Raw genomic sequence first — 22,922 nt, 5'->3', positions numbered from 1 at the left:
TATACCCGGAACCCAGCCACAACTCCTCACTTTCTCTAACACTGCCCTGGTGCCCTGTCCTCACCTCCATCCTGGGGACAGTACAGCCTCCTCCTGCTCCTCTTTCTCCATGCAGCTGCTTCCCAAAGTAGCCAGAGAGGCCTGGGAAGCAGGAATTGCCTCACACCTTCTCACTGCTCAGAAACCTCCCTTGCCTTTTCTCACACTCAGACCAAAATTCTAAGGAGGCGTTTAGGACTGTACTAACCTGCACCTGCCACACTTCCTGCCTCACCCCCTGCCACTCCTTTACCTGTCCACCGCCCTTCTCTCCTCTAACCTCTTTCTCTTCCTGTAATGGCCTCAAATAGTCTATTGCCAGATTTGCTTATTTTTCTCTCATTTTTTATAGATCTACCTTCCAATATCATTGACTTAAAGTCCACTCTGTGTAAGAAAACTCTTCTTATCCTCAGTTCCCTATCACACCACACTGCTTTGGTCTTCATACCACTGATCACTTCCTAAGCCTTACCAGCTGAAGGATTTTGAGTGAGTTACTAATCCCTTCTGTGACTTCCTTTTCTATCTTTAAAGGGCAGATCATATCAGTACCTATTGTAGAATTATTTTGAGGATTAAATGAGTTAACATATACGAAATACTCAGAAAATTGCTTGTCTCATAGGAGACTACATTAGAGTATTAATCATTGCATTTTCTTTGAGCCCTGATGGTCTCTGCTTCTCCATAAGGATGGGGACCTTGCTGAATTCACCACTGTGTTCTCAGCATCTAGTATCATGCTTGGCATGTAGGAGATGCTGCATATACAAATGTGGAAAGATAAAAGGAAAGAACAGGACATGATAAAGCAAATTGCAAGGTAGAAACACAAACGTGTTAATCAGGAGCTGTATGTGGAACCCTGTGGCAGATTAAATACAGCCTTTAAAACAAAGATGGCCATGGATCTTACAATTGCCCCCAAAGTCATGGCAGCCTTGTTTGATGTTTCCTCCTTTTACTTTTATCTGTATCTTTTTAAACAAATCTTGTCTATTGAGGAACAGCACATTGACAAAGAAAGGAATAAACAGAAGATTCTCATTAGCACAAGACAGGTTTAGTCTTTCTGCAACTCTTATTTCCCTATTTCATACCTATCGATATATTCTATAAAATGCAATCATCAGTCCCAAATAATACAATTCCTCATGTTCCCAGACACTGGACATTCTGCAAAGTAGAGATAGAATAAACTCCAATTTTGCCAAACCCTAGGGAAGGTAATCCACTACCATTTTTAACTTGATCTGCCAAATGAGATCCCAACAACTTACTTAAAAACATGTTATCCCCAAATAATCATTTATGTGGTTCTTGAGCCAAAAGAGATCCCAAAAACTTACTTAAAAATATGTTATCCCCAAATAAACATTTATGTGGTTCATCTAAGCTTAGACGAGCAGAAAGAATAAGAAAACCTCCAACATTGACCTCAACCTACATGTATGTCCATCCCAATGTCTGTTTCACGAACCCTGTGTTCAGGTGAAGCTGGAAAGCTCTGGAATCTGACTGGACTGGATGCTCTCTGGGGTCCCTTGGTCTCTAGACACAGAAGCTGTGGGCCAGACATCTCCAGTTCGAGTGCTTACAAGAAGCTGGCAAAGAATATAACTGAGTGGAACATTCTGGTCGTTCTAAAGAAACACTGTTATTGGCATGCAAAAGATTCAGGGATACTCTTTACTTTCACAAAGAATTATAAGTTCTACTTCTTTTCTGGAAACAATTGGCCCTCTTACTCTGGCTTTTCTTCATCTATTTTGGATAAGAGACATGGGGAAAAATCCACTTTCCTCTGAAATCTCTTTCAAGTAAAAGAAGAACCTTATATAAAAGTAGATACACAGACCAATGGAACAGAATAGACAACCCCCCAAGAAGGCCAAATACTTACAACTAACTGATCTTTGACAAGGCGTACAAAAACATAAATTGGGGAAAGGACACCCTATTCAATAAATGCTGCTGGGAGAATTGGATAGCCATATGTAGAAGAATGAAACTAGAGCCATATCTCTCGCTATATAGAAAAATCAACTCTAGATGGATTAAAGATTTAAATCTTAAGACTTGAAACCATAGAAATTCTAGAATAAAACCTAGGAAGAAACTCTTCTGGATATTGGCCTAGGCAATGAATTTGTAACTAAGACTCCAAAAGCAAATGCAACAAAATAAACAATAAATAAATGTGACCTAAACTATAAAGATTCTGCACAGCAAATAAATAATCACCAGAAAAAACAACCTATAGAATGTGAGACAATATTTGCAAATTATATATCCGACAAAGGGCTAATATCCAAAATCTACAAGGAACTCAAAAAAAAAGCAAGAAGAAAATAAACAATCCCATGAAAAAGTGGGCAAATGACATGAATAGACAATTCTCAAAAGAGGATATACAAATGGCCAACGAACATGAACATCACTAATCATCAGGGGAATGCAAATTAAAACCAAAATGAGATACTACCTTACCCCAGGCAAAATGGCCATTATTAAAAAGTCAGAAAACACTAGATATTGGAATGGATGTGAAAAATCAGAATAAAAAAGAGAAAATAGCACTTAAATAATAGATGATACAATAGTACTAGTATAGACTCATTAAGCACATACTGTGTCTCAGACCCTATTCTAAGGATTTTATTGATATATTCACAACTTGTGAAATAGGTATTGTCACATCCTATGAATGAGGAAACTGAGGCACAGTGTGGAAATGAAAAACTCAAAGGAAGAATAAGTAGCTGTATATCGTTTAGGCCAGAAGCAGAGAATGATTGATTAGCTGCTAATGATTGATCTAAGACCTCAGTGGGATCTTAGATCATGCTTGACATTAAAACAATGCTTCACTATCAGGTATGTCTGATTTTCCATGTAATTGATCACTTCACTTCCTTCACCCAACCTATGAGAAAGTTTGCTCAGGGACTCCAAGTCCTCATGAGAGGATCTATTGCTGATTATAGAGCCAAGTGAAATGAGAGCTGGGTGTTGTGTTCCACCCTTTTCACTCCTCGAGGTTCTCAAGCTCAGATTGACCTCTTCACATCCTCATCTTCAGTCTTCACCCTGACGATGCCCTTTTGACTCTCCATATGGGCAGAAGCCAAAGTTTTTATTTAACAGCCCATTCTAACGGCCCATGAATGCCAACTTTTTATATCTATGCAGTCTTCTCTTTTGCCTCCAATGCTCAGAATGTTTATTTCACGAAGGTCTTATCATTACCATCTTGCTTCCTAGAAATCAATGTAATATCATCCAAGCAAAATGTCATGAACTTGTCATTTGAATAACTGTGACTCTAGAGCTCCAAAGTTTGAGAAATCTTGCTGCTGAAGGCGTTTTCCTCTAACAGCTCCATAAAGTGGACATGAATATTAATAGTTGGTTGTAAAATGGTCAGTTTTCAGGTTGCTGGATGTGGCATCAGGTTGCCAAATGATGACTGATATGTCCAAGGTCTTTTGTTGTGAGAGAGGAAGGATGTCTTGGGAGGACCAAGTGATTCCCACAAAGCACGTCACACCAAAAACATGCCTCTTGGGCAAAGTCTGGAGAGGGGTCAGCTTCTAAGGTTGACAGCGAGCTGCAGTGATTGAGTCCCAGTGTTGTGTAAAACTCATCCACCAAATGTTTGAGTCCCTCCTCTGTGGGAGGCACTGTTCAAGACATGAGGCTATAGCTGGGAGCAAAGCAAATGAAAAACCCTGACTTCATGAAACAAATGAAAAACTCTGACTTCATGAGTGTTCATGAAGCTCTTATTTTAGAGCTATATTCAAGAAGACAGAGAAGGTAATGGAAAGTCAATAAAGTAACATATTTTCCATGGTATGAACACAAACATAAAAAATTAAGCAAGAAGGGGGATAGGAATTTTGGTGGGGGACATTGAGTTTATGTAACCTAACTAGAAAATTCTCCCCTAAAAAGGTGTCTGTTGTGGACTGAATATTTGTGTCTACCCAAAATTAATATGTTGAAACTGAATCCCTGATATGATACAGGCCTTTCTATTGCAAGCAAGTAACAGAAATTGATGGGATGTGTAAACAGGAGGAAGAGAACAAGAATAAAATTTTATGATTACCCCAGCGAGTCCTGTAGGGAGAATCAACTTCTGTGCCCCACACCCAGGCCTCTTCCCTCAACCCCCATCTCCTCCCACCCGTGGAGGATGATACCCCATTCCATGGGCAGAAGGAGATGGGGGTTCAGGGAAGAAGGGTGGAGGTTGGGGCACAGAATCTGCTGCTGTATCATGGGAAGCCATGGATGGTACCCGTTTAGAGACTTCTCCATGGAGGTCTTGCTATTATCATTTTTATTTATGATTTAGCCCTCATTTTTTCTTTCGTTCATTAATTGACTACTAAGCCACTGACCATGATTGGACCATGGGCCATGGAATGTCTTATTTTGTAATTAGTAGAGTCAAGCCCATTCATCTACCAGTTGATATTTAATATCTGAAGTACATGCAATTATCATGCTAGGAAAAAAAGAAAATATGTGCCTAATTGTATTTTTATATTTAAAAATTGTTACTTCTTTCTTAGCTCCAGTACTTAAGCTGAAAATTATTAAATTCCTCACTGTCTTATCAACTCTTAATATAACAAATAAAAGGACACTCCCAAGGAAGACTTACCCTGAACTCATCAATAAATCGTAAGAAGCAGCTGTGGGAATCACTTCTATTCTATTAGGGGAATGTAGAATACTGATTTCTTTCTTTTTTTCTAAAAAAAAAAAAAAAAAACAACCTGAAATTCAATTTTCCAAACTGTCCAGAAATTACTCTCAGAATTCAACCATAGGGAAAGGTAAATAAGAAAAAGAATAAATACGTTGCACAATGAAAGAAAAAAAAATGGGATTCCAACCAACAGCATTGACTTTACATTTTAGAGGAAATAAGAGTAATTGAAAAGCACATTTTTTTTTTCAGTGATAAACTGCCAAGTTAAAGCAGCTACATAAAAAGACAAAAGATATAACTCTGGAGACACACCTTGACTGCACATTGATCTTGAAGCCTATAAGACTATCTTCTCAACCACAGGCAAGCTACCATCTTGGAAGTTCCTGGATATCGTTTTTCTTTTTACAGAGAGATCTCATCTTAGGAAACAAAAATATATAAATTAAAAATGAAGGCCAGGCACGGTGGCTCACCCCTGTAATCCCAGCAGTTTGGGAGGCCAAGGCGGGTGGATCACTAGGTCAGGAGATAGAGATTACCCTGGCCAATATGGTGAAACCCCGTCTGTACTAAAAATACAAAAAATTAGCTGTGCGTGGTGGTGGGCACCTGTAGTCTTAGCTACTTGGGAGGCTGAGGCAGGAGAATCGTTTGAAGCGGAGGTTGCAGTGAGCCAAGATCGCACCGCTGCACTCCAGCCTGGCGACAGAGAGAGACTTCTTCTCAAAAAAAAAAAAAAAAAAGAAAGAAAGAAAAAAGAAAAAGAAACCTCACAGGTAACATAAAATGAGTGCTGCTTGCGTTAAAGTTATTCAGGCAATATTTTTTGCTGTGTTGGTTTGTTGGGTTTTCGTTTGTTTTAGCAGTTTCAAACAGAAGCATTCATTCCTCACAGTTTCTGTAGGTCAGTAGTCAGATGCAGGTGACTTACTTGTGTGCTTCGGGCTATAGCGCCCTCATGAGGTTCAGTCAGGTGGGTGTGGCTGTGGATCCAGGTTTATCGGAAAGCTCTACTGGGGGAGACCCAGTTCCCAATGCATTCTGTAGCTTCAGGGCGTTCAATTTCTCACGGGCTGTTGGACTGAGGACCTTAGTTCCCCATTGACTGGAGCCTGGAGGCATCCTTTGGTTTCGAGTCCCATGAACCACTCTGTAGGGCAGCTCGCAACATGGCAGTTGGCTTCCCTCAGAATGAGCGAGTAAGAGAAGGGGGAGTGAGAGAAGAGGCACACAGCATGGAGCCACTGCCTGTTCTTTGCTGCTTGAAGAAGTCTCATTTGCCTTTTCAAACGGAATGAATTCATTAACCAGAGAGCCTTGAACCCATATCACTATTATGTTCGGAACTAATAATGATGAATCTTAGCCATCCATACCCACTTTATTCTATCAAATGTCAGATTCACACCACTGGAGGGATGTGAGCTATTCGTACTTTTGGTGGCTGTCACAGTTCAAGACTTTTAGTTGCTGTCTGATGACTCATTAGGCAATTTCATTTCCAGTTCTCTTTCAATACCTCATGTGACTGTAAGAAAAAAGACTCATTTTAACGCTGGTATATTCATTAAACCTCTCTTACGCTAGAAAATCTTTTTAACAAAGAGGTCTTAGGTAAGGAAATTTGGTAGGCAACCAAATATAGGTAGGATTTAATATTATTTGGGGGGATTTAATAATTTGGAGGGAGGTTTGCTTTTTAAGTGATTCTGATTTTCCATTTCTGGTAGCAGTAGAAAATTTCTTTTTAAATATATTTATTTATATGCAGTCAAAAGCACATAGTCTCAAGACTGCTTTTTGCGTTGAATATTATATTTATGATATACTGCCATTATTATGTATAGTTAGATATCTTTAAATCTCATTATTGTGTATTCTTCCATTATGTAAGTATATTACATTGTATTTATTCTATTGTTCATGCTGCTTTCTTTTCTTTACATGTAGAGCTACTGTGGGCATGCTAGATCATAAATTGCATGTACTTCTAGGTTGTATGTGTACCTTGGAGTGGAGTTGCTGGGTCATAGGATATGCATATGTGCAAGCATTGATAGATATTTCCAAAGAGTTTACTAAAGTGATGTACCGACTACAGGGTATGGGTACAGCAATATAAGGAAACTTTGGTTGCCAGCATTTTGCATATTTGTCTTTTTCGTGTTAGTCATTGTGGTGAGTCTATAGAGATATTGTATTGAATTTCCTTGGTGAAGGTTGAGAACGTATCATGTGATTAGTAGTCATTTGGACAGCCTCTTTGATGAGGAACCCCTTCATAGCATTTCCTCTTTCTTCTATTTGATTGTAAGCAAAGAATCAGTGTAGATGTTACTCTTGGAGGGGAATTGGTGACTGGGAAGGGGTGCATGGTAATGTTCTGTTGCTCGTTCTGGATATGTGGAATTTGTAAAATGTAAGCTGTGCAACTTGTCTGTGTTCTTCTACTTCAAAAACATCTAAAAATTGAAACGGAAATTATTTTTAAGAAAAAATATTGAGTTCACTTCAGGAATAAAACATTAACAACAGGATAGGAAGTTCACAGTTATGAATAAACTCTTGAGTGGCATGATAAAAAAAATATGGTGGGATTACCTAAATCACTGGAGTCTGGGGACCACTGTCTGGGCACTACAGCCCTCATGAGCTCCCGAGCTCATGCTCAGTGAAGCGATGGCGCTAAGTCCCACATGTGTTTGTGGACCATCCTATGCTGCAACATATCTGGAGATGGGGCCTTTGAGAGGGAATTAGGTTTGGATGAGGTCAAGAGGTTGGGGCCATGATGAGGAGATTAGTGCCCTTATAAGAAGCAACAGCAGAAAGCTTGCTCTCTATCTCTCTTCACCGTGTGTGAATAGAGTGACAAGGTGGCCATCCACAAGCCAGGAAGAGAGCCCTCATCAGAAATAGAATTGGCTAGCACCTTTATCTTGGACTTCCCAGCTCCAGAACAATGAGAAATACATTCCTTTGTTTTTTATGCCACCCAGTCTACGGCACATTGTGATATCATCCGAAGCTCACTAATATATCGGGTATACTTAATACGGTCATGTCAGGCAAACAGACTCACAGAAGGTAGGTAAATGGGGGGAATTTTATTTGGGGAACTGGTTACAGAGAGCTGAAATTCAGGCAAGATGATACAACACAGACGTTAATAACCACTGAAAGCCCTAGCACCACAGGGACAATGGGAAAAGATGGTTCTAGCTGAGCCCAGGAGCCGAAGACAATGGGAAGGACTTAGATCCCTGCAGGAGGGAGCATCCCCAGAACTGGAATCCAACTGGAAAGTGTCTAGGTAGGACTAGGCCCATAGAGGGAAGAACCGTCTGATGCGAGATGGAAACGGAGAAGACAGAGCCAGTGCCAGCAGCACTGTCTAGAGAATGGGCTCAGCAATCCCCTGAATTCCCTCATCCTTCTCCCCACCAGTCACCCACCTTTGGCCAAACCTTCCCATATATCAGTGAGCAGAAGAGGCTGAGAAATTTAGCCTACAGGAGTCAAGACCTGTGGCACAGAAAAATCAGTAGAAAGGCAAGTAGTAAATCTGAAAAGAGTACAGTCATAACAACCAAGTGTGTTTCATCCCTATGCCATTTTTATAGAGATAAAAGTCAGGATTTCGAGTACTTTCACATTCCTTCATCGACTCTTGTTTATGCCCCAAATACCACAGAATGAGTATCACATATATACTCTGCTACATGAAAAGGAATTTATGGTCTTCATCCCTCACTTTCCTAACTACATTAAACACTTCTTAGGTTTCTCAGATGATTGGCTTCAGTGCGGAACAGATATGAGCAGAGAGCTGACTCTGGGCATCTCGGCTGAATTACATCCTCTCTGGTGGGAAGGCAGAGCTGGGATCCAGGGAACATATGAAGACTTCGTATGAGCATCTCCTAAACCCTCATCAACCATGTCCATGTTCTCAGGTGAACCCCAGTGTTGACATCACTCCTTGGGCTTACACAATCATCAACCTGTACCAGATGAATGCTCTTCTTCCATTGCGGACTTGATCTTAAGGACTGAAAAATACCAGATGCCCAGTATTAAAAACAGCCTAATATTCTCCCATTTCTCTTCCTATATGGAGGAGTCATAAGTTCTCTGGCTTTAAAGTTTTACAGAACCTTCAGTTTCACAGCTTCCATATGTAATAATTTGGTATATGGTTGCAAAAGAAAATATTAGCCTAAAATGAGGCCAGAAAGATAGAAGAAAGGGAGCTAGAGTCTTACCTTCATTTTTTTTACATTGTAAGACTATGAGAACATCTATTATATTCCCCAGGAAAATATGCATAATTTCACTTTTCTATATTCTTGACTAGACCTGATTATTTTTTAGGAGCAGCCCTCGAATAAACAGCAAACCTTACTGACTGAAAAATTCAAACTCCAACTGCTCACAGGCACCATAGAGAGAATGAGAATGAGAACATACACAGGGTGTGTGGTTGGGGTTCATGTGAATTCTTACCTGTTTTTCTTTAATTTACATATTCCAATTTCCACTCTTTGTGACTTCCAGAAACAGAATGTTATCTGAGCCAATTATCTACGTGCATTTTCTCTTCATCTCTCTCCTGAGCCAAATTCTGATTTAATTTCCACCCATGGTGATATGCAGCCATGTACGTAGGCCAGTTGGGCCCATCACATTTGAATGAATGTGATTAGACAGATGTGAGATGGCTCAATCCCAGATGCTTCCTCTAAGCGCTATTGTGGATGTGGAGAGAAACATTATTGGTTGTACTTTTAATATTCAGCAAATTGTCTCAAAATGGCCCCTAGGCACACATAAGGTTCAGTAGCTGGCTGGCATTCCAATCTCACAGTAAGTGAAATTCTAACTTTAGTAATAAATTAACTTGGGAACTTTGGACATATCTCACAAAATCTGTGAGATATCTGACTATGTCATTTTACCAATATCCACACACAAGTCTAGAACAATTACAATGTACAAACCTAGAAATTTGGGACATCTGGTTTACCAGTTGCTCCGCCTCTAGCTCAGCTTTCAAAGATGCTCCTGTTTACAATTAACGGACATGATTATTTCACGCAGATGGAAGGTCTTGCTGTTGGAGTTAAACATATTTGACTCAATCAATAGAGTTATTGTTCTGGGACCAAAATGTCTCTGACTCATAACCTTGCTTTTGCTCTTCCTATCAAATGAGTGTGATATTAATTTCTAGCCCTGCAGTGGTAGAATCCTCCCAGCAATATAAGAAGACGGAAGAAATAAGAACGTCAGTCAAGCACTCCCTTGACATACCTTTTCATTTTACCAGTCACACCACAGCAGCAGAACAAATATTACAGGCTTGTGTAAAGTGCTATAACTAATCCAATAAATGACAAGAGCCTCCCGTCCTCAGTAATTCTCATTTAGGATGTGTTTCTTCTCTAATAGGTTTCCCTCCAAATGCTTTGTGTCATGAATTCGCTACAGCAAAAACCTTTAAGAATCTGAAATTCACTGGAGCTATCCTGCATTTGCAGCCCAGAAATTACTGGCTTTAGCAGTCTTTGCTCTCTCGGTTTAATCTGAACATAAATACAGATATTTGCTTCAACAGTCGCTAAAGGAAAATTATAACACTGTCAAAAAAACTTGGAGAAGCTGCCTGAAAATGGTGTTCATTTCCCTTTTCTTTCAGCATTCTTCTTTGTTAGCACAACTCAGAGGAGTGCACCAGTAGAGTTACTACCTTTCTTCTTTCAATGACGGGGAAAGCCACCACCATCTGCCACATTTTTTTTCTAAAAGCAAAACCCAAACAGAAAAGGTATTTGCTCTTAGCAAATAATCAAAACGCAGCAAATGGACTGTCCCAACATGGTTGCTTTGCGGGGGTCACCTCTTTGGTTGGCAGTGAAAACCGACTCCTGAAATAAAAAGAAAAATTCAAATGTGACAACCGGTCTTCAGATGTTATCACCTTCAACTCATAAGCACTGAAGGAGAGCTAACTACCTTGCACTTCTTGTCACCTTGGTGGGGCATTGCAGGTTCTGGGAAGAAACTGAGGCCACTGAGGCCTGCTTTCCGAGAAAGAGACCAAAGGCCAGAAATGGAGCTAACAGGAAATAAAGACATATGGTTGTTGTTTCTCCCCTCCCTTCCCTCTCTTCCCCTCCCCTCCTCTTCCCTCTCTTCCCCTCCCCTCCCCTCTCTTTCCCTCCCTCCCCTCTCTTCCCCTCCCCTCTCTTCCCTTCCCCTCCCCTCTCCTCCCGTCCCTCCCCTATCCCCTCCCTCCCCTCTCTTCCCTTTCCCTCCCCTCCCCTTCCTTCTTGCCTCCCCTCTCCTCCCCTCCCTCCCCTCTCTTCCGACTCCCTCCCCTCTCTTTCTCTCCCCTCCCCATCCCTTCCCTTTCCTTTTCTCTTTTCTTGTCTTTTCAAACTTTACATTCGATTCCACCTCTTTACAAGCTCCCATTAGCTTAAGGTCAGATAGAAGTTTGCATGCAAACATAGTAAAATAGGCTTCCATACAGCAAACAACTATCAAAAGGTCATGCTTTTTATTTTCACAGACGTAAAAGCCACCATCAACATTTGCAATGAGAGCAGTGAGATGTAACAGCAACAACTGCTACCAATAAACCTAATAATCGCAAAGATCGCACCTAGTTTGTACCGTGTTATATCCCGGTGCAAGACAGTGACTGCTATAAAGCAGGTGATTGTTAAGTATTTTTTGAATGGATGAATGAACGAAATGTAATTTTGAACACTTCCCCCCCTCTTCCCTTGGTACATATATATAGGTGCTATATTTCCTCTTGACACATCAGTGCCACCATCTTCTTCTAAGGCTGGGCGGTACATTTCCCTGATCTATTTGCCTCTGAGCCTACTGGTCAGAGCTTGGTTTAAGGGGAACCCAGGAGTGATTTGGTAGGCAGAAAGAAGCAGAAGACATCGACCCCTGGACACCATTCTGCCCGGGGGTGGCTTCACCGTCCTCTCCAGGAGCCTCCATGTGTGCTCATGGCAGCTTATGGAGCTTCTTCCTGAGGTCCTGCTTCTCTAGTGCTGCAAGAAGAGATCTGAAATCAACACCTTTGTCTGGAATCTTCCACTGAAGCCTTCAAAACCTCCGTCCCCCAACTCAACCCATATTTGTGTAAGATCTAACTCCTATATTCCTGTAAAACTTGTACTCTCTTTTTCTGACCAAATCCAAATTAATGCTTAAAGATTATATGGATATATAATCTTTATATATATATATGAGGCTTCATACATTGCATTTGAGTAAGATCTTGTCTCAAAAAAAAAAAAGTAGAGAGATATCTGGAGGTGAACTCCAGATATGGTCCAGAAACTCAAATATGGTACCAGGTATTTGTGTGTGTGTGTGTGTGTGTGTGTGTGTCTGTGTGTGTGTGTGTCTGTGTGTGTGTGTGTGTGTGTGTGTGTGTGTGTGTGTATTTGCTGCATAGTTTTTATTTTATCAAAGTCGCTTCCTTAAGAATTCTAACCATAAAATTCTTTCCTGGCTTCTGCTCCCTGGAATTAAATCTTGAGCAGTTTCTAAAAAGATAGTTGGAATTCGTATTGATTAAGGGGAAGAAAAGTACACTGGTGGTATATACCACAGGACAATCATTGGTAATAACCATGAATAATAGCTAGTGTATTACTCTAAATGTGTTTAGCTGCAAGTAGCTGACCAACTACTCAGCAAACATGTCCATGTTCTTTAAGGGTAGAGACATAAGGATTCTTGGCATTTATTTATTATGATATCTGGAGGTGGCCAGGCACAGTGGCTCACGCCTGTAATCCCAGCACTTTGGGAGGCCAAAGTTGGTGGATCATCTGAGCTCGGGAGTTCAAGACCAGCCTGGGCAACATGGTGAAACCCTGTCTCTACTAAAAATACAAAAATTATCTGGGCATGGTGGCACACACCTGTAGTCCCAGCTACTTAGGGGGCTGAGGTGGGAGGTTTGCTTGAGCCCGGGAGGCAGAGGTTGCAGTGAGCTGAGATTGTGCCACTGCACTCCAGCCTGGGCGACACAGTGAGATCCTGTCTCAAAAAAAAAAAAAAAAAAAAATAGAGAGATATCTGGAGGTGGAGGTGAACTCTACATTGGTCCAGAAACTCAAATATGGTACCAGGGTTCCAGGCTCTTTCTGTCCTCCTGTACTCTAACCTCTGCACAGTGGTTTACTTAGAAGGTATGTACCTCATGGTAACATGATGGCTGCCACAGCACCAGACATCAGCTCTTTACACTGTGGCTCTAAATGTGGTAAAAGAAGAGGCTTCATACATTGCATTTGATTTTATCATGGAAAAAAACAATCTTCCAAGAATTCCCAGTGGGTCTCTCTTTGTCTCTCAGTGGCTAGAACTGGGACCCATGCCCCATCCCTAGCCCAAGCCTTGGCCCAGGGCAATAAAATGCCATTAGTGTTTTCGATTGCTCATGACAGCTTCCCTGGGACTGCCCATCCCCATGTGCATCTGGTAATGTCAGAAACAAAGTGGGGGATGTGTACTTCTGAAGCTTCACATGGCAAGCCAGATGGTTTTCAGTGTGGTGTAACTGAAACTTAAATAACACGTAAGAGCACAGTAATGAAGTGGTTCCTTTCAGATACACAGTGGGCTTTTCTGATTACCTTGAGTAGGAAGGCTCAGTCTGTTGTTGCTTCTGTGTCTGTAACATCAATCTGACACTTACTAACCTTTCTTTTTACCAAGAGGAAGCAGGACTCAGCCTCAAAGCAGTAAGCAGACAGAGAATCTAAGCAAAATGTTTTGCCTTTTTTACATTTATTCTATAATTGTCTTCTACTTACAGTAAGTGATCGCGGTTTTCCATTTGTAGTGCAGCTGTCATTTCCTTTTAAAATATATGTATCAGAGTTAAATAGGCATGTTTAAAGATAATTTTAAGTAAATAACATAAATATCATTATATATTATACTGTGGTAAATACTGCATTATGGCAAATATGACAAAAGTCATGAGCAGTGCATAAAATGCTGAAGATTAGTCAATTTTATCTTTAGGAAGAGTGAGAAAGAAAGTGTGAGAACAACAGGAACTTCCAGAATTCCCTAGAACCTACATGAGAAACATGAACACTGCATCTAGGTTAATTTCTCAGGAAAAATAATGTATGGAAATCTAAGCTCTTTGCATGGAGTTTCTTCTCTGTGACACCACCCTGTTAGTCTGACGAAAATCCACAAGAAAATCCCCAGTCGTAATAAATGTGCTTGTTAAAAGATATGTATTATTTCATCATTCTTTAAATGCTGTGTTGGCATTTCTCATTGGCATTCTAACTGGTGGTTGTTGCCACAATTACTTTTATTTCTGAAAATAAGCTGAGATATCCAAGGTCATGATTAACAATGTACTGATTCCTTGACTTTAAATTTCGTACTAAAATGACAGAGGAGTCCACAATCGTCTGTGTGTGTGTGTGTGTGTGTGTGTCATAGTGACTAAACCTCCATTGAACTAATTTATGCTAGGTAGCAGCAATACCCTCTAAAACTCTCTGTTTTGGTCTAAATAGTTCACATGTGCTCAGTGTTACTAAAAAATGTCAGTTCTGTTCACTGTATTATAAATGTGTTTGCCAAAATGTGGATCTTCCCCGTGGGGTATGTGCAGTGTGATTTTAGGTGGTCCCAGACAAAATGTTAGAACACAGAATCACAGAGTGATATGGTTTGGCTCTGTGTCCCCACCCAAATCTCATCTTGAATTGTACTCCCATAATTCCCACATGCCGTGGGAGGGACCTGGTGGGAGATAATTTGAATCATGGGAGCAGTTTCCCCCTTACTGTTCTCGTGGTAGTGAATAAGTCTCACTAGATCTGATGGTTTTATCAGGGGTTTTCACTTTTGTGTCTTCCTCATTTTCTCTTGTCGCCGCCATGTAAGAAGTGCCTTTTGCCTCCCGCCATGATTCTGAGGCCACCCCAGCCATGTAGAACCACAAATCCGATTAAACTTCTTTTTCTTCCCAGTCTCGGGTAGTCTTTATCAGCAGCATAAAAATGGACTAATACACGGACTGAGATATTTTATTTCATTTTTAGTTATTTTTCAACCCTTCCCATTATAAAAAGGAAAACAATTTCATTTAAGGACAGAAAGCTTTACCATTTCTAACACTTGCTATCTATTTTCAACCCAGAAAGGCCTGGCCTCAAGCCCAAAACCACAGGCAGGATTCAGATTCTAACCCAAAACACGTGCATATATGTGTGTGTCACAGTAGCTTTTTGTGTCACTACAGCTAGCAGAATCCCCACCAATAACAACTTTAACAACATATGTTTAATTCCCCACATGAGGGGCAGCCTGCAGCAGGCAGCCCCAGGGTTTTTCAGCAGCTGGAAGATGCCAAGAGTATCTGACTCTGTCTCTGCAATTCTGCTGGCCTTTCTCCAAGTGGCTATAAAATGGGCAAGTTCAGACATCAAACTCTGAGACACTGGCCTCCCAAACATGAAGCAAGATGGGTAGGGTCACTTCTCCCTTACCCCAGGAAAGGCTTTTTCCTGGAAAGACTGGCTTTATCTGAATGTTCTTACCCTGCTCTGACCTTACTTTTGTCTAAGGGTTCAGGACTCCAGCTTGTGCCCAACCATGGTCCAGTCACGGGCAAAGCGGGGTGGGGTCACGGTATTTCAGGCCAACTCTGACCCATGCCCCTGAGTGGTCAGGGCAGCAGTTTAGGCCCATTCCATCAGTACCCCTGGGTTGACAGAGATAAGAGAGACCCTTGGTTGAATACCAAGGGTCCACCCAGGTAGTATCTCCTGTCGCCGTTAGAAGCAAACTGAATCCATCCCAGAGAGCAGAGAAATGCTGTTGTCTAGAAACTTCCTCAGTGGCACGCTGTGAATCTGATATTGTCTTTAATATGAAAAGTGCAACAGCCATTCTCCAAGACAAAACATGGCTCATTCCTGCATCAACATAGCAACCTCCACCTCCCAGGTTCAAGTGATTCTCCTGCCTCAGCCTCCCAAGTAGCTGGGATTACAGGCACACACCACCACGCCCAGCTAATTTTTTGTATTTTTAGTAGAGATGGGGTTTCACCATATTGGTCAGGCTTGTCTCAAACTCCTGACCTTGTGATCCATCTGCCTCAGCCTCCCAAAGTGCTGTGATTACAAGTGTGAGCCACCACGCCCAGCCTGGCACACAAATCTTAACTGTAGGGTAGACATCTTCTTGTTATCCTTTTACCTAACTTAAGATTTCATGTTAACAAGAAAGACTAAGTTCTTCTGGGGGAGTAGACATGTGCCTGGTAAGTTGGAGTATGAACAAGCATCAATTAATGCTACAGATTCCCTCTTTATGGAGTCTTATGCGTCTTTTACAAAGAAAATGCCAAGGAGGGCTCAAAAGTTCAGCTAAATCTCTTTAATGCTAATCAATTAAGGGAAACAAGACTATGTTTATTAACGCTTGAATTATCAAATTTTGTAAAAAAAAAATGATTTGTACTGTCGTGTATAGTAGCCATGGTAATTCAAATAAGATTGACCAACATTGACAAACAACCCTTTTAATAATTAGATAAGAATGAATCTCCATTAGCCGTTTGGGGCCATATTAATGGGGACCTGTTTGTATGTTTTTTGTGTGTTTATTTTCCTGTAAGAGGTTATAATATTTGTGCTCCTTGCGCTTGCATATGCTGTTACTTCAGACTTGCTTACCAAGTGTTTGGTGAATGAACTTATAACTTGACCCTCTTAATTAACAGGGATTTAATATCTGGGGCACCTGACTCTATAGGCTGATGGCATGCTGGGCAACAATGAAATTGGTGATTTTAAGAGAAATGTAGCCAGCTCATAGGCTGCCATTCCTGAGCACTGACTGTGCCTGCACTTGCCCTGAGATCACCACTACATTTGCCCATTTGCCATCAGAACCACCATGAGGTGGGCAGCCATGACCCCCCCACAGATGGGGTCTCTCTACATAGGAGGCATCACACTGGACTCAACCTTGCCATGGTCCCTCATCCTCCATCCTCCCTCTTCCCTGACCCACTGGTTCCCCCTTTTACACCCTAAAAGACCAGTCAGGTCCCTGAGATCTCCACCCAGCATTGGGCCAGGTCCACCAGAGGCTGAAGCTAGTGTTTGCTCCTGTTTCTGGAATCAGGTTTCTTGGCCAGGTCTTGGCAGCTGAGGTCACACAGGCCTGGGACTGAGTCCTCCTTTGGTTATGAAGGAGAGTGACTCAACTTCCCATGCCTCAGCCTTCTCATTTATAAAACGGGAATCATAAAGACCCCCTCTTCACAGGGTCCAGGAATCAGTGCTGCAGGTGAGGCCTTTCACAGAGCACAACACGACAGGCACCCTTGTGGATTGTGTGGGCAACGCCATTTTACTCCATGGCCCCAGAGCCTGGAGCTCTGCAGGAAGCTCCCCATGAGCTGCAGGAAGCAGCATTTCTGATTGGGCTTCTGCCATGGGCCTGCTCCAGGTGACCCTCTTCCAAATGGCAGCTGTCTCTTGAGTCTCTTGGTTTACCCAACCCAGGAGAGAGGCAGGAGTGGCATATGTTTCAGGAAGATGGAGTCCTGGGGAGCAGGTGTGAGGGGTAGGGGGATGGCAGTGCACCTGGAGCCCAGGCCATGACACAGGTATGAGGGTAGGGGGATGGTGATGCACCTGGATCTGAGGCCATGACACAGGTGTGAGGGTAGGGGGATGGTGGTGCGCCTGGATCTGAGGCCATGACAGATGTCCCCTCAGGTGCTGCCTCCAGGACACAGACCCAGTATCTCCTGTCTTCTGTATTTTTCACAAGAGGCCAAAATTTGGAATTTTCATTTGCATATATGAGAGCTTCTAATTTTGTTAAACCATGACTTTTTAAAGTTGTTTCTGGCCCGGGCTCAGTGGCTCATGCCTGTAATCCCAGCACTTGGCAGGCTGAGGCAGATGGATCATGTAAGGTCAGGAGTTCAAGACCAACCTGGCCAAAATGGTGAAACCTCGTCTCTACTAAAAATACAAAAAATTAACTAGGTGTGGTGGTGGGCGCCTGTAGTCCCAGCTACTCAGGAGGCTGAGGCAGGAGAATTGCTTGATCCCAGGACGTGGAGGTTGCAGTGAGCCGAGGTCACACTACTGCACTGCAGCCTAGGTGACGGAGTGAGACTCCGTCTCAAAAAACCAAAAAAAGTTGTTTCTGAACAGTTTGAACACAACAGGTCAGCATGCTGCATTCAGGCCTCTGTTCTCCTCCACACAGCAGTTCTGCACAACCTTGTCCTTTTGACTGACAGCTCCAGCCCAGCCCTGCCAGGAACTCTCCCCACCCCACCTCATTGCTTTACTGGTCCCAAATCCCTTCCCCAGCCTCATCAGACCTGAAGATCCTTCCAGAAGGAATGGAATCTAGTAAATGAATTAATATCAGAGATGATGATGGATGAAGCTTAATCATTGGCCCCTCTCTGGAGAAACAAAAATTAAAAACCTTTTTCTGGAGCCGCCTCTTGAGTGTCCATCCACAGGTCCCCTTCTCTTTCCTCCTGATTGACCAAGCTCACATCCCAGAATAGATACTGAATAAAGATTCACTTTCCCAGGTCCTCTGGAGATGACAGGTGACCCAATATTGTCCAGGCAGACCTAAGAAAGACACTAATTGAGGCTTATGTAAAGCTTTTTCCTGACAAAAAATAAAAATAAAAAAAAGTAAAACTTGCCAGTTTTCTGCCTCTGAATGTAAGTAAGCAGGTGATGATATGCTGTGAGAAGCTCCAGCAGCCATTCTGTGACCATGAGGAGACTAGACCAAGGATCAACCAACATGCAGTGGGTACAGCAGAAAGATAGAAAGAACTGGGTGCTTGGAGACCTGGGAGATGGCTGAACAAAACCTGAAATTTCCTAGCTTTAGCTTCTTGTCATGTGAATTAATCTTTCTTGTTTAAAATCTTCTAGTTGAATATTCTATTATAATGAGGTAGTGTCAAATGATTCACAAAGGACCTGAGATACTAAAATGTGAAATTGTGGGCTGGGTGTGCAGTGACCCATGCCTATAATCCCAGCGCTTTGGGAGGCCAAGTTGGATGGATTGCTTTAGCCCAGGAGTTCAAGAGTGGCCTGGGTAACATGGCAAAATATTATCTGCACGAAAAATAAAATAAAATAAAATAAAATAAAATAAAATAAAATAAAATAAAATAAAATAAAATGCAAAATGTAGAGCACCACCTATGTAAGTTAAATATGAAATTGACCTCCGTATGGCAGCACTGACTTTTCCGGTGTAATTTCCCGATGGCATCTGCTACCTGTGTGAGTCTCTGTGAGTGCTGGTGTGTGTTGTCATGACACAACCTCACAAAAGTGAACAGGCACTCTTACGCTTTTATTCACCATTCAGGCTCCTGCCTGGAATTAATGAAGTGGATGGTTTCAATGAAAAAAGACTGCCAGATGCAGAGAGAGCCACAGCTTTGTGAAAATGAGGGGGTGCAAGAATCTGGCTGACTTCCTTCCATCCTGCGTGGCCGGTGTAATCACTCTACACCATCTGTCGGAAGTTCATATGGAAAATTGTCACAACGAGCTTTCTTTTGTCAACCTCATAAATGGTCCTATTTAAAAAAATTCCAAGCTTCCTTAGGCAACTGTAAGCAAATAAATAATTGTTTTTCACTTCAAAACTATCCATCTTTTCTCAAACCCCCAGCTACCATCAAGCCCCCTAGACATTTTCCATGTCATAACCCTCCATCTGCAGCTGGGTCTCCTACTGCACCCACGGTAGGCTACTGCACTGACCGGAATTCCATTTGTCTTGGTTTTACTGCCTGATAAAAGTAGAGATTGCATTAAACAAAGACTCCATGACAGACTGAGAGCATACAATTTAGAGATTAAATGGGCCAGATTTTAGATGCCCAAGGTGTTTACGGCAACGAGCAGAGTCAAAATAATTAGAAAATGATGCACGGCCTACCACAAACCATCTCTCATCTGAACAGCTGATCGTCACCCCCACAATGTTCCAGATGTGTGTGTTTTCTTCAATAATGGGGAGTTAAAAATAACCCTCTCAGTTCCTCCAAATGATGTATGGCAGGGCCACTGCCATCAGGCATTCTGCAGAGGGGAGCCTCCTCAGTTACTATAGAAAGGCTTGAGAATAAAATAAATATAACCATGTGCTCATCATCCAAATGAAATTTTAATTAATTCAGAACTTGTTCCGAAAGCTTTCCAAGACAACTCATGCTAATGAGCTCTCTGCACTCTTCTTCCTCCAGTTTATGATGTCATGCTAAATGGGCTGCATCTACCAATGTTGATGAGATGAAAATCCATTCATTCTGGACTGAGGTTTGAGTATAGTTTTAGGACCTGCTGAAACACCTCAATTTCCCTTCTTCAAAACCCAGGGCCTCTTCTCTCTCTTTCCTTGTTGGGCTGAGATTGATGGCTTTTGTAAAAGCTTTCGGCGCTTCATGGGAAGAATCTCAACTCAATGCATTGGCTTTGGGGCATTAACCAATTTCCGTACTTAAAACAACTACCCACCAGCCCTTCCTCCAGCCAGCATTTTGTGCATGGGTGACACCAGCAGTGAGACAGAATTATCTGCTGTTCTTAACCACACAGCCTGGCCACTTCATTGTCTATGGGTCAAGGGCAGCAAGGTGTCATCACCTTGGGGTGAGTACAGATCTGCCAGGCTCATCAAATCACATGCATTTGGTCTCTCCACTCAGAAAATAAATGCCAACTCCTACCTCATCTTCCCCAAGAGCCTTGAAAAAGTCAAATGAGATGAGCTGTGTACTCTGTGCACTAAATAATGTGTATACACAGACACAGAATGTGGAATAATTGTCACTGGAGACTCGAAGGGAGGAAGGATGGGAGGGAGATGAGGGATGAGAAATTACTTAATGGGGACAATGTACATAACTTAGGTGGTGATTACCCTAAAATCCCAGACATCACCACTGTGCAATATATCCATGTGACAACACTGCATTTATGCTCCTTAAGTGTATACAAATTTAAGAAAAAATGTTAAGTAGCTTTCATATTTGAATGAACACCTCTAACTTCCATCATGTTGGGTTCCTATGGACCCTGGAATTGTGAGACCACACAGGGAGAGGAGGAGCCAATCCCAGCTGTGCTGCCCCTCACCGGAATGGGAGCACCGAGGGCAGGATAGACCAGGGGAGGGAACATGGATAATGATTTCGACACCCTGGTGCTGTTGCTAGGCATTACCTTTTCACATTTCCTCCTAAAACCACAAGGATCTGATATACTGAGCATAAAACCCACAGCATGGGACAAAATACAACTTTTCTTTCAAATTATCCAATTCTAGACATGTGAGCAGGCAAGGACACCTGCATGTGATTGAGGAAGCCCCTGATGGACAGTCACTGTTCCCGGGGTGAGCTCTGGGGATGCGGGCCTGCACTCATCCGGACAATCCAGGAGGAGGCGCTACACCAAGAGTCAGCAGCCCTTTTTCTGTAAAGGGCCTGAAAGAAAATACAATAGGCTTCATGGTCTGTGCAGTTTCTGGCACAATTGCCCAATTTGGCTCTTGCAGAGTGAATGGACATGGCTGTGTTTCGTTAAAACTTTATTTACACAAATAGGTAGCAGAGGAAGGAAATCAATTCAAGAGATGTTTAAGAGACAAAATAACAGTTTGCAAACCAAAGACATATGACAGTATGAATAATGTCCTTAACTAGCTAATGCCCACACAAGAAAAAAATTAGATATTATCTCTATTACAGTCCATTTCACACATCTTTCATAAAAACAAAACAAGGGAATATTTCCCAACTATGGATGCCAGATCATTAGTGGGTCATTACATTGATTTATTGTCATTTTTATTTTTTTGAGACAGACTCTCATTCTGTCTCCCAGGCTGGAGTGCAGTGGTACAATCTCTGCTCAGTGCAACCTCTTCATCTCAGATTCAAGCAATTGTCCCTGCCTCAGTCTCCTAAGTAGCTGGGATTACAGGCACATGCCATCACGCGCAGCTAATTTTTCGATTTTTTGGTAGAGATGGGGTTTTGCCATGTTGGCCAGGCTGATCTTGAACTCCTGATCTCAGGTGATCTGCCCGCCTTGGTCTCCCAAAGTGCTGGGATTAGAGGTGTGAACCACCATGGCCGGTCCATTCCGACGATTTAGTGGATCACAACTTTCAAATTAAAAAAGATAAAATAGTCCAATAGTAATAAAATCACATTTGATATAAAATAAAACTTTTATTTTCATATAATAGTGAGGGAAAATATTTTCTATATGACTTCTTTAACTTTATGCATATACGTGTGTGTATGATATATGAAATGTATATTTTTCTTTGGGCCATCATCAATAAAGTTGGAAAAACACTGATATAATTGAAAGAACACAGAACTAGGAAATGGAAAGACTAGACAGGCTTTAATCTAAATTGTACTATTTGTTAGATTTGGATCTATATTTAACATCTCTAGACTTTACATGTCTTATTTGTAAAATTGAACCTTTCATTTATATTCTTAAAAATATATTTACTATGCACCCGCTATTAATCAGGCACTGTTCTAGGCTCTGGACATACATGGATCAACTAGACAGGCCCCACTCTAGGAAGCTAACAACCTACCTGGGGAGAGACATAAATAAACAAGTAAGTGGGTAAGCAGAGAAGAGGACGGGCTGAATGCTTATGGGGATGGGCACTGCTTCAAAGAGAGAGGTGAAGGAAGGCCTGGTAGGAAAGGGAGTGGCTATGAGAAGGTCCAAGGGGGCCTCTGGTGGTGAAAAAGAGCAAGGAGATTGCTGAGGGTGAATCTGGGCTCAGAGAGGTGAAAAGTCTTGATCACGTTCACCGGGGCCTGGTGGTAACTTGAACACAGGCTTTCCAGGCCAAATCTCAAATTCTACATCACTAGGCTTCTTCATTATGAATATGCTTCTTAAAATTGCATTTCTATATGCAAGCTGCTAGAAAGTTTCAAAGAAATGGTAGCACACCTAACTTTTGAATGCAGGTCTGGCTACCAGAGGCCACATCTCTCCAGCAATCAAGCTCA

At 41.9% G+C, this 22,922-nt stretch overlaps 2 long non-coding RNA genes across 2 annotated transcripts, besides 1 other annotated feature; both read right to left on the bottom strand.

The window, feature by feature from the left end:
• Positions 1 to 7,858: 7,858 nt before the first annotated feature.
• LOC101927531 (uncharacterized) lies at positions 7,859 to 10,905 on the bottom strand. Its single transcript, NR_187677.1, has 3 exons — positions 10,787 to 10,905; positions 9,278 to 10,698; positions 7,859 to 8,823 (listed from the first exon to the last, which is right to left on the bottom strand). It is a non-coding gene; the product is annotated as an uncharacterized LOC101927531 (long non-coding RNA).
• A 291-nt stretch (positions 10,906 to 11,196) lies between these two features.
• Positions 11,197 to 18,903, bottom strand: LOC105379613 (uncharacterized). Its single transcript, XR_001749379.1, has 3 exons — positions 18,311 to 18,903; positions 13,627 to 13,670; positions 11,197 to 11,847 (listed from the first exon to the last, which is right to left on the bottom strand). It is a non-coding gene; the product is annotated as an uncharacterized LOC105379613 (long non-coding RNA).
• Positions 17,438 to 17,593: a silencer, noted in NCBI's record as "fragment chr12:126835877-126836032 (GRCh37/hg19 assembly coordinates)". NCBI's record gives its function as "represses an EF-1alpha promoter that drives an FKBP-Casp9 reporter gene in an ReSE screen in HepG2 liver carcinoma cells {active_cell/tissue: HepG2}" and the evidence as "EXISTENCE:reporter gene assay evidence [ECO:0000049][PMID:32094911]".
• Positions 18,904 to 22,922: the final 4,019 nt, after the last annotated feature.

The sequence above is a fragment of the Homo sapiens genome, chromosome 12 (assembly GCF_000001405.40).
Source record: "Homo sapiens chromosome 12, GRCh38.p14 Primary Assembly".
NCBI lineage: Eukaryota > Metazoa > Chordata > Mammalia > Primates > Hominidae > Homo > Homo sapiens.
Note: the sequence above shows the minus strand (reverse complement) of the source record. Positions and strands in the feature narration are given on the sequence as shown.